The 13,236-nt window shown below is 36.7% G+C and overlaps 1 protein-coding gene across 7 annotated transcripts in view; it reads right to left on the bottom strand.

The window, feature by feature from the left end:
• Nucleotides 1-13,236, bottom strand: part of GRM7 (glutamate metabotropic receptor 7) — an 880,419-nt gene that overhangs the window by 289,066 nt on the left and 578,117 nt on the right. The window lies entirely within an intron of this gene.

The following is a 13,236-nucleotide window of genomic DNA, read 5'->3' as shown; positions in this document are numbered from 1 at the left end:
CACATTTGCCTACCACGTGATAGCCAGTTGGTATCCATATCCAGCTACCATGTTAGGTTTCTCTAATAGCTTGTAGTATTTTACTTTGTGACACCTTACATACTATTCAAAATATAGTGGTCCCTTAGAATAAAAGGATCTTTGAGATCAGAAGCTGGGTTGCCACATTCGAACCTGAAAAGCTCGCTTACTCTAGAAAGGTCAAATGGATAATGACAGAAAACAAACTAAATTCCACACCTGAATTCATTACTTTCTACACACCTATTGTACCGTCTCTGTTGCCTGTCTCGATTGTTAGTATTACTGGAGATTCAGATGCTCAGGCTAGAAACACTGATGTCCGTTTTCTTTCTCTTCCCTTTCACAATCCCAGCTCTCACATATGTAAGTCTAATGAATTCTAGCAGTCCTACCTGTGAAGTACTGAACAGTGTCAAACACTCCACCAATGGCCTCTTTATGCCTCCCACCATTTTCCATCACGTGCAATGCTCAATGTCTCCTTTCATCCATTCATTCCTCCACGTTCACCTTTGCAAACTACAGAGCTAGTCACATCATTCCTACACTAAGAGTCCCTCAATGGCTGTCTGCTGACTACAGATTAAATCCAGATCCCTTTCACTGGTCACAGTAGATATTTACCATTTTGCTCCCATCTGCCTAATAATGATAACAACTGATATTGACTAAGTGCCCACACTGTGTTGAAAGCTGTGGATGTGGGATTTTTATGTCATCATCACTTTGTGAGGTAATTTTTTTTATCCTTATGATACCAGTGGGAAAGCTGAGCCTTATAGAGGTTAAATCACCTTCCAAAGGTCATTTACAGGTAGAGCAATGATGATGGCCCAGGCTTGTCAGACCCCAAAGCCCACATTCTTTTCATTACCTGGACCCTGCCTACCCTCTCACATTTATTTTCCTTTATTCTTCCAGATAGGTGTGACTATTGTTGCTGTTAAACTATCTTTGCTCATGCTGTTTACTTTGCCAGGGAGATCCTTCCTCTTTGCTTTCACCATCATACTTAATTCCCAACTGTTTGTCACACCGAGGCGCTCAGTCGCAATTCAACATTCCCGTAAAACATTTCAAATCTTGCTTATAGCACTGTCAATATAGAATCATATTTTAATGCTCTACCAGGTGTCCAAGACATTTTTCTTGTTTTTACCTTTGGATCCCCACCATTGAACATAGCCTTTAGCATCCAGTAGATACTAAATAACACTTGTTGCATTAAATTATGCATTCATTAAGTACACGACACCAGTAGCTCTCTCTAGACCTCTTGTCCCTCTATGAAGAAGAATTATCCACAAATTGCATTTCACTTTCACAGCAATATTTTCCAAATTGTTTCCTACGGCACATTTGTGTAGTGAAGAAACAATAAGAGTTCTACAACCTCACAATAAGAGTTCTACAACCTCAACCCCTTTTCCTGCAAAACACACAAAGGGTTCCGGACAGCCACTGTGCTAAAATGTTTTAGGTTGCTTCACTGACTTTTCCAGAACATTTAACATATAACATAAAATGTAACCTCCAAGAGGGAAATTCAGAATTTCCCAAATTTACTTGAATTTGTATTTTTCCATTTCAGAGCACCATTAATATCTCATATGCCAGAGAGTTGTGTTTTATATGTATCTCATTTAAATACCAAATCAACTTTATGCTCACTGCCTGTCACGGGATCTAGGGTTTTTCAGTGTATATAGTATAGGATTTTTTTTTAAAGATAAAATTTATCATGAATTTATGCAGCTATTTCCCATTCAAATTCAGGACTACAGAGTTTTTGCTTAACCTTGACACTCTTAAATCTCTACTTCCTTTCTCTCATGAGGACAATCTTGGTTCTTAATGATACTGTTATGATTATTCATTTGCTTTATCCCATAATATACAGATAACATTCTTAGAATAACAATCATGTCTAACAGTCTAAAAAGTATAGAACAGCCTTCTGCATATGCCTGTATGTGTTTTTCATGTTCTGCCTGAGTATTTTGGGGAAGAATTTTGAGAAGTGGAGGAGTTTTGTCAAAGGGTAAATTCATGTGTATTTTTTATATATATTGGCAAATTCCACTCTAAAAGGGTTGTGTCATTTTGCTGTCCCACCAGCAATGGATTTGAATGTTTGTTTCCCTGCAACCTCAGCAACAGAGTATGCTGTCGAACTTTAATTTGTGTCAATCAGGTACGTGAGAAAGGCTACCACAGTGTATTTTTATTTGCATTTTTCTTGTTATAAAGGAAAATGAGCTTCTTTCATGTGGAAAGATGAAACTTGTTTCTTTTTTTGTAAACTGTTCATAAATAAGCCATTCTGATAAAAAGTTATTGGCCATTCTCTTCTCTTTTTAAATTTAATTAGATATATTAACTCTTTGAGATTAAGTTGCAAATATTTTTCCCAGTTTGTCATTATTCTTTTACCTCCTTTAGGTATCTTTTTCCAAATAAAAATTTATTCATTTCTTTCTAATAAAATGCATTGATTTAATTTTCTGTTAATACTTCTGGATTTTGAATCATGGTTAGAAAAAAATGAGCCCACTTCCAGAGTACAGAAGTTTTCATCCATGTTTTCTCTTAGTACTCTATAATTTTTTAAGTTAAATATTTGACTCACTTGGAACGTATTTTGTTATGCAATGTGAGAAATGAATCAAAATTTTATCTCTTACCATATAGCTATGCAGTTATTGTAATACATGACAGTTTACCTTCTCTTGCTGATTTGAGGTTCTGCCTTTACTATATGTCAAATTTCCATATGCGACTGGGTCAAATTTCTGGATATTTTAAAATCTGTTTCATGGTTTACTTTCTCTATCCATGCACCAAACTAGAGTTTCAATTATAAAGGCTTTATAACATATTTTAATAACTGACAGAGCAAGCCCCTCTGTGCCAGATTTGTTGATTTTTAAAGATTTTTCTGAATAATTTATTTCTTCCAATAAAATTTATTAACCATTATCTTCAGAAAGAAAATCTAGCAACTTGGTGGTCCATTTATTGGGTTTCTGTTGTATTTAAAAATAAACTCACCTAGAACAGAAGCCTTGCTGAAGTTGAATCTTCCTATCTGTATCTTCGTTTGCTCAAGTCTACTTTTGCTTCTCTCAATAGTGTTTAAAGTTTTTCTCACATAGGTTTTGAATGTTTCTTGCAAAGTTAGCCAAGATGTTTTATTCATTTTTGCTATTATAAGTATGGTGTTATTTTTCATGAATCATTTTACTGGTATTTCATCTATATATAAAAGCTATTTTTTGCTACGTTGTGGCTGTTTTACTGTTTTCCAACTTTCTATTATGAAAAATTTCAAACATTGAGCAATGTTAAAAGAACTTTAGAGTGAACCCACTAACTAAATTCTAACATTACCATTTTACTATATTTATTTTTTAAGGCTATTCATTTTTAATATGAATTTTATAACCTGCTACTTTATAAATTTCTCTTATTTTTTATAGAACTTAGAAAAGGCAATCTCGGAGGCATTTCGACCATTATAAAATATATACTATGAAATAGGTTCAGACTAATAATTGAGGGGACCCATTTCTAAACTACACTAATAAAGACAATCATCCTGGAGAGAATGCCTTGAAAAATAATTGCATTATTTTACATAATAAAATATTTTATTATCTGTGAAACATTGCAGGCTTTATCCCTCTCTCAGAGAGTCTCCAGGTATGTTAACATATTAAAGGCTCTGAGAAGACTTACGTATTAAATTTGTCTTTGGAGCTAATAGGACTTGAAAATGTAGCCTTATATCAACAAAATCAGAAGTGACAAGTTTATGTTTTATAAAAAGGACTTAGGCTTTATTTTCCCTAGTGTGGCAGTCACAATTATTTGCCAACCTCTGAGTCTTTGACTACTCATATACCATCCCTACTCCTCCTCTCCCAACTGAAATCTGATTCTGTTCAGATATTGGAGGCCACCAATGTGAGTAAGGATTTCTGGACTTTTCACTGAGTTAATCCTGATTTGTCTAAGCCAATCCAATCTCCTCTGCAAGAACTGGTTTAGGAACAAGGGATAGGATACAATTCTAGCCAATGAGATATAAGGAAAGAGTTTGCCATTGTGGAAGTCAGTGTGGCGATTCCTCAGGGATCTAGAACTAGAAATACCATTTGACCCAGCCATCCCATTACTGGGTATATACCCAAAGGACTATAAATCATGCTGCTATAAAGACACATGCACATGTATGTTTATTGCGGCATTATTCACAATAGCAATGACTTGGAACCAACCCAAGTGTCCAACAATGATAGACCGGATTAAGAAAATGTGGCACATATACACCATGGAATACTATGCGGCCATAAAAAATGATGAGTTCATGTCCTTTGTAGGGACATGGATGAAACTGGAAATCATCATTCTCAGTAAACTATCGCAAGGACAAAAAACCAAACACCGCATGTTCTCACTCATAGGTGGGAACTGAACAATGAGAACACATGGACACAGGAAGGGGAACATCACATTCCGGGGACTGTTGTGGGGTGGGGGGAGGGGGGAGGGATAGCATTAGGAGATATATGTAATGCTAAATGATGAGTTAATGGGTGCAGCACACCAGCATGGCACATGTATACATATGTAACTAACCTGCACATTATGCACATGTACCCTAAAACTTAAAGTATAATAATAAAATAAATAAAATAAATATTAAAAAAAAAAGAGTTTGCTGGGGAACTTCTGAGAAAGTTTATTTATTCTTACAAAGAGATTAGTCAATTGTGTCAAAAATCCCCCACACCACACCCGGCCCACGCACCCCGCAACTACTCCAGTCATTTTGTAGTCCTGAGGAGACCATAGCATACCAGTGACAAAGGATAAATTCTTGATAGGGAAGTGAAAATGCAACTGAGCTGTGAGTTAGCCAAGCTTGAAATCACCCTCCACATGGTCTTCCGAGTAATACATGAAATGGTTCACCCATTTACTAAAGCTTGATCGTCAGTATTTTCCAGGTTTATTTAACTACTACACTTCTTATTCATATACCCATTTACAAAATTCTAAGGGACTAGCATTAAACACACCCACACACACACTGAAATACAATGTTAAGAGATATTTTCAACAACATAGCTTGAAGTGGACCAAAGAAAAATCAGCTTTTTTTTCAATTAATTCTTCATTAACAGGACGTTCTTTTGATCTCTGTGATTTAATAAGACATTATTATATTCTTTATTTGGAGGAGGTTCATCCTTTTCATCACGTTTTCTAGGAAAGAGTCTGCGGTTTAGATAAAATGAGAACTCTGAAGCATTATCTTTTACCTCTCTAGTATGCAAAGCTTAACTTTTCACGTCTCCCGATTTTCTTCTCATTATTACTTTTACCCAGAGTCCAGTATTTATCTTTAAAAGGCACACTCTTTTAACCTTCTGTTGAATAAATTGTCAGTTGCATTACACAAGAATAACCCATAAATTCTTTCACTCTCAGAATTTCTAATGGTCATGCTATGGGGAAGATCTTTTCTTTGAAAGACCTGTTTAATTTGCCCATTCAGCATACTGCTCCCTCAGAATATATGCCTTAGTTAAAATGTATCAGCAAATTATTAGGATAAAAAAGATATGGAAAATGAAAGATATAATGGATTTGAAATTGTTAATATAAAAAAAAATCCTGGCCGGGCAAGGTAGCTCACGCCAGTAATCCCAGCACTTTGGGAGGCCGAAGTGGGCAGATCACCTGAGGTCAGGAGTTCAAGACCAGCCTGGCCAACATGGTGAAACCTCGTCTGTACCAAATACACAAAAATTAGCCGGGCTGTGGCGTGTGCCTGAAATCCCAGCTACTCGAGAGGCTGAGACAGGAGAATTGCCTTGAACCCAGGAGGTAGAGGCTGCAGTGAGCTGAGATCGCGCCACTACACTTCAGCCTGGGCTACAGAATGAGACTCCGTCTCAAAAAAAAAAAAAACAAAAAAAAAAAAACAAGACCAAAAACAACAACAACAAAATCGTGTTTCAAAAGGAAAACCAAAAGAAAGAGATGGAGTTATGAGAAAACAAATCAAAGATGTTTACTAATGTAGACTGAGACACACAGATGCCAGAAAGATTCAGCAGATCTGAACAACCAGCATAAGGCTTCTCATGTGGTTTTAAGGGAGTGAATAATTGAAATTTTTATTTCAAACATTAATTGAAGTGATTTGCTTTGGAAAGTCTGATCTGAAGCTGTGTACACTTGTGCTGGCAGTGCTTTTAGACTTTGCATTACACAATTTTATTGAATGTAAAGCCTCAAACTTAAATATTTCTTGAGGCTGAAGTCCTGAGTAGTAACAGCATACAATTAACTTAAATATTGATGTTTGGATCTATTGTAAGTGATAAATGCTTCAATAAATAGTAAATGAATGTATTACAAGAGCTTTGAAAAAGAGAGTCAGGGCATATTTGATTTGTGACAAACTGCTATATTCTGGGTGAAGGGGACACAGGGACAGCAGGGTGAATATCCTGGAGTGTTACAGAATGTTGCTGGGTTCTGAAAGTGCTACAGTAACCCAGCAAGCCTTATTACAAAGCTGCTGCAGCTTTGTAATATTTAAAGATAAACAGATAAATAACTCTGTCAACTGGGTATTGTTCCCCCTCAAGGGTATGCATTTCTCTGTATAAAATGAATATTAATGTGAAACTAAGATTCTGTGTTATATTGAAGTTGACTTTGGTGCATCTTTCATAGTGTCCACATTTAGAGAATCCCAGAGTAAAATCCTATGGCCTTGTGAGAATTATCAGTAGAAGCAAAGTCAGGTCTGGAATGAGCCAAAATGTCTGCAGTATTGCTGTGCCTCTATTTGCAGGTGAAGATAAGTGAGAATTGAATGTGATGAGCGACTCCTGAAAAGAATGCTGGGGTTCACAGGGGGTCACAGCACCACCCGCAGCACGTGTTAATTGCGAACTTTCTGTGCACCAGGTCCTGTGGAAGCACTTTTCATGATTTGACTTTTTAACCCTCACAGCACACTTCTGGGATAAGTACTATTAATATTATTTTCTCCATTTGTCTTCCGTTTCTTGCCTCTCTGTTACTTCATTGCCCATTATAAAAAATGAGCCAAATGGTTTCTTCCCTATCCACACAGGGAAAAGGGACAGTCTTGTCCTCCTTTAATTCTTTTCATTTTCAATATTAGTTTAGAGCCATAAGTAATCTAAAAGTTCATGCGGGCCATGATTTTTATTTACATCCTCTTATACCTACTGAATGTTTCAGCAGAATTTCCTGCAAGGAGGAAATGGATGGTTTTGACAACCACCATTGTATTCTTGCTTGACTTCCCTTTGGGTGGAAAAGTTAACGCCCAGAACAACTGACACAAGGCCAGCAGAGGAAGGAAGAAAACAACGCAGAAAGGCCAGATGACTTACCCATTGATCGTCCAGCTTAAATGACCAAAATTTGATTGCAATTGAACCATTAACATCCTAATGTTCTGCAGAAGTACTGAGTGCTCTGTTAAAGACTCAAAAAGAATTACAGCAAAGGAGAAAAACTGTCTAGCCAAAACCCATTATTTCTAAGCATTTTTCAACTAGGATGCTTCCTGGGGGGCTATTCATCTTCACTTAAAACTGTGTTTTCTTCTGCAATTCCATTTTCAATTTTCAGGTAAGTGCAAGGAAAGATACATGCAGTGAATAAATGTGTGTTGGGAGCAGGGGGTGGATGGTGGGGATATGTTTAGGTACAATGCACACAGGGACTGAGGTTGAAAGGAGGAATGTTTCAGTCTCAATGTTTACACACTCCAAACATGTGAAAGGTGTCCTGAGAGACTCCACCAAGGACTTTATGGCCAAGAGCAATTTGTTGTGGGTAATGCCAATCTGTTCAGTAAAGGTAAAAACACCGTTTGTCACTAAAACTGACATAAGAAAACTTAATATACCTTGTTACCAGACAAACAAACAAAAAGATATGGTTTCCTAAAGAAGCACAGAGATTCAGTTTCAATGTCTTACATAGATTTCCTTCTCCTAAGCTTTCTTAAGCCAAATTTCTACTTCAACAATTTTGATTGCTCCTCTTCTATAAGCCATAGAATCATTGAAAAAGTATTCTTTCTAGAACAGACTTAAAGAAATGTCTCTATAGATGCCTGTCCTCTTAGCTCATTCCTCAACCAAACCTCCTTCAATAAGGAGGTTGTACCACTCTGAAACTCTGTTTATGCCATCCCAGGAGTTGTATTCAGGTTGAACTTTCAGGACATTCATGAATCTGTTTATTCACAAATGCATTAAGAAGCCAGATGAAAAACGAATCTGTGCAATTACCATCAATCGTTGCTAAAAGCATGAGATAAAAGGATGATGTGAACTTTGCAGTGAATAGATCAGGTTGACAACACTGGAACCATAGCTTAATCTTTTTTCCTCCTCCTGTTTTGTTCTTGACATTAGCAAGTTTTTTGTTTGTTAGTTTGGAAAATGGCATTGCATACGTATGTAGGCATGTAAAAAAACAATTAACAAAAATCTTCACAAAAACATAAATTTTCAGAGTAGAAAGGAAAATGTCACCTTGTAGTCTTGCCCCTAGAATAGTCCCTCTTCTAAATATAACTACTCTCATTTCTTATGTTAATAACACACAAAATTAAGAAACAGATTCTATGTGTTTTCTAAAGTGTTGCAATACTAAATGTATACCACCAAGTGGTAGAAATTCTGTCAAATACATAACCAAATCAACACAGAAAGAGAGAGAGAGACATAAACCTGATCAAGCTCTGGATCTATGTATTAATTTACAGGAAATGCAGAAAATAAAGAAAATGTCAATCAAAAGTAAAATTCAGTTCCCAATAATAAGCTGTTTTGACAAATGGCAAGAAGTAAAAGAACGGAGGGAAACATATTTAGATTACAAAAAAATTGAGAAACATATCAAATAAAGGTGGGATGTGCAATGTATTTAGATCCTGATGTGAAAAAAAAAATTTTATAAAGACATTTATGAGAGAAGGGAGAGACTAGCTATTCCATGATGATAATGAACTATTGTCTTTTGTGTGTATTGTACATTTTTTGAGAGCAATTATATCTTAAAGTTGCATGCTGAAGTGTTTAAAATAAAACCATATGTAGAGGTTTACTTTGAATTGGCCAATGGTGAGGAAAAAAATATGTATAGGGTATCTGTAAAAATAAATTGGCCAGATTATGACAGCTGTTGGGGTTCAGTGATGGATACATGGTGATTCATTACACTACTCTTTCTGCTTTTGTGTTGGTCTGAAGGATCACATGATGCTCATGAAAATAAAAACAGAAGAGGGAGAAGACCAGAAAAAGAGAAGGAAGTAGAATAAAAAGAGGAGGAGGAGGAGGATGGAAAAGAAAATGAGGAAAATAAAAAAGAAGATCAAGATGATATAAGGGGGAAACAGGGAGGGTATGGGGGGGAGGCAAGAGAGGAGATGAAGTTAGTTGCATCTAAGGATATCTACCATGTACCAGACAGAGACACTCTACTAAAGATGAGGGATACAGATATAAATAATTATACAACATGTTGTCAGCTTTCACAGTTCTACTCAAATACTTCTGCTGAAAACCAGGGTTTCCACTCTCATGTCAAGTCTTACAGATGCTCTTGGATTAATGTGCTTCCCATGTATCTAATTAAGGGGCACACATATTGCAGAAGCTATGCTATATGGGAAGGTTCATCTAACTCCCAAGGGACTTTAGTCCCTTCCTGGATGAAACCTAGGCATGTTGTGGGGATGGAATGATTGCATCTCACTGCTACCATGCCCCTTCACCTCCTTAAGCACACAGAGAAGACATAAGGGAATTAATCTCACTTCAGAATTTGAAAGGACATTTCAGAACCATCAGTTTTATCAAAGTTTATTTTTACAAAAGTCATAATCGCAAGTTCTAGTTAGAGCAGTCAGGCAAGAGAAAGAAACAAAAGGCATCTAAATAGGAAACAAAGTCAAACTATCTCTGTTTGAAGATGCTGTGAATTCATTCCTATAAGACCCATAGTCTCAGCCCAAAAGCTCCCAGAACAATTTCAGCAAAGTTTCTGGATACAAAATCAATATATGAAAATTAGTAGCATTTCTATATACCAATAGCATCCAAACTGAGTACCAAATCAAGAATGCAATGTCATTCACAATAGCCACAAAAACTCAGGAATATAGCTAACCAGGGAGGTGAAAGATATCTAAAACAACTACAAAACACTGCTGAAAGAAATAAGAGATGACACAAACAAACAGAAAAGTATTCTATGTCCATGAATAGGAAGAATCAATATTGTTAAAATGGCCATACTGCCCAAAGCAATTTGCAAATTAAATGCTATTTCTACCCAACTACCAACTACATTCTTCACAGAATTAGAAAAAAAAAAGCTATTCTAAAAGTCATATGGAACCAAAAAGAACCCAAATAGCCAAAGCAATCCTAAGCAAAAAGAACAAAACTGAAGGCATTATATTACCCAACTTCAAGCTATACTATAAGGCTACAGTAAACAAAACAGCATGGTACTGACACAAAAACAGACACATAGACCAATGGAATAGCTTAGAGAGCCCAAAAATAAAGCTGCACACTTACAGCCATCTGATCTTTGACAAAGGTGACAAAAATGACCAATGGGAAAAGGATTCACTCAATAAATGGTGCTGGGATAACTGGTTAGCCATATGCAGAAGACTGAAACTGTACCACCTCCTTACACCATATACAAAAATTAACCCAAGATATATTAAAAACTTAAATGTAAAACTTAAAACTATACAAACTCTTTAAGAAAATTTGGAAATATCATTCTAGATATAGGCCCTGGCAAAGATTTTATGAAGATAACAAAAGCAACTGCAACAAAAATTGACAAATGTGACCTATTTATACTAAAGAGCTTCTACACAGCAAAAGAAACCATCAATGGAGTAAACAGACAACCCAAAAAATTGGAGAAAATATTTTCAATGTATGCATCCAACAAAGGTCTAATATCCAGAATCTATAATGAACTTAAATAAATTAACAAGCAAAAACCAAATAATCTTATTAAAAAGTGGGCAAAGGACACGAACAGACACTTCTTTTCAAAAGAAGACATATTCATGACCAAAACACATGAAAAAAATGCTCAACATCACTAATCATTAGAGAAATGTAAATCAAAACCATAATTAGATACCATCTCACACCAGTCAGAATGGCTATTATTAAATGGTCAGATGCTGGTGAGGTTGCAGAAAAAAAAGGAATGCTTATACACTGCTGGTGGGAATGTAAACTAGTTCAGCCACTGTGGAAAGCAGTTTGGTCATTTCTCAAAGAGCTTAAAACAGAATTACCATTTGACCAAACAATCCCATTACCGAGTATATACCCAAAGGAACATAAATTGTTCTAACATAAAGGCACATGCACACACATGTTCATGGCAGCGCTATTCACAATAGCAAAGACATGGCATTGACTTGTATTTCCATCAATGGTAGACTGGATAAAGAAAATGTAGTACATATACACCATGGAATACTGTACATCCATAAAAAAAGAATGAGATAATATCTTTTGCAGCAACAAGGATGGAACTGAAGGCCACTATTCTAAGCACACTAAAACAGGAACAGAAAACCAAACATTAAACTTTCTCACTTATAAGGGGGAGCTACACATTGAGCACACATAGACACAAAGAAGGGGACAATAGAGGCTGGGGCCTATTTGAGGCTAGAAGATGAGAACTGAAAAACTACCTGTCGGATACTACGTTTATCACCTGTGTGACAACATAATATGTACACCAAGCCCCGACGACACTCAATTTGTCTACAGAACCAAGCTGCATATGTACTCTTGAAACTAAACTCAAATTAAAATTAAAAAGCCATGATTTCACTCCATTTTATCTCTAGTTGTATGTCTTATGGGTATATTGGACTAGCTCTAGTGATTGCAACTGTAAATAGGAAGGAAAAATAGTCATCCCCAAAGAGAAACATTATTTTCTCTGTGTGACTAGATGCTGTAAGAAATGTTGCGTTACTTCCAGTGTCTCCAAGCCCACAGTCAGAAATAAATTACCAAAATAAGGGCCAGATGTGTTTCACTATTGCTAGAGTTGATAGCTTTACACTTGAATTCACTTCCAAAGTTCACCTGCATTTTCCTAGGCTCAAGTGACTTCCCTCCTCTAGAACATTCTCAGAAATAAATCATTCATGCCTCCCTTTGAAGCTTTACTGCCCACTGGACAAGCCTCTCTGATCCTGTATCTGCTAAGCTCTCATCCCTGTGTGCCAATTCTCTATTGTTTAACAACCAGCTCCCTCCAGCTTTCCAAATACTTTGTGCTCTCTGGAACTCCAAATCCACACCGAGTACTCCTCAATGCAACTTTATCCCAGTTTTCACATACTTCCTTAACTAAAACCTGGAGGTTTGCTGAGAACACTTCTTCCCCTAAGGCTCTATTAAGCAGAAGTAATAGCCAGCTCCCTCTGTCTTTCCAAATACTTTGTGCTCTCTGGAACTCCAAATCCACATTGACTACTCCTCAATGCAACCTTATCCCAGTTTTCAAATACTTCCTTAACTAAAACCTGGAGGTTTGCTGAGAACACTGCTTCCCCCAGGGCTCTATTAAGCAGAAGTATTTTCCCCCTTGCATAGCCCCATGTATCAGTGTCCTTCTTACTTCCCAATGCCACTTGCATTCTCTAATTTGTTTCTCCCTGTGCAAAACAACAAAGAATAATACAGGGGTTATTCCTAACCCCTGTATGTCTTGACTTGTTTGTCACAAACTGTGAAGGGTCTGGGATTTTACCATATCTGCAGCCCACAAGTTAGCCTGCCACAGTTTTGGGTGTTGGCGGAAGACAGAAGCAGCATGGGCAGGGACAAAAGGTGTTATCTTTCACAGAAACAGTAGTAGCCAGAGTATCAACCTTTTCTGGCTCTGGTTCCTTGAGCTGCAATTCACATAGGCTGACAGAAAAAGTGCCAAGTGACACCATGGGCTACGTTACAGGAGAGGACTCCGACCTTAGAAAGCCTGGTCTTTGATTCCAGACAGTAAATATTGCTGACCTTTGCTCTAAAGAGAAACACTATCTCCAGCTTCCAAAGATTTTTTCTATACAAATGCCCT

This window comes from Homo sapiens, chromosome 3 (genome assembly GCF_000001405.40).
Source record: "Homo sapiens chromosome 3, GRCh38.p14 Primary Assembly".
Lineage (NCBI taxonomy): Eukaryota > Metazoa > Chordata > Mammalia > Primates > Hominidae > Homo > Homo sapiens.
Note: the sequence above shows the minus strand (reverse complement) of the source record. Positions and strands in the feature narration are given on the sequence as shown.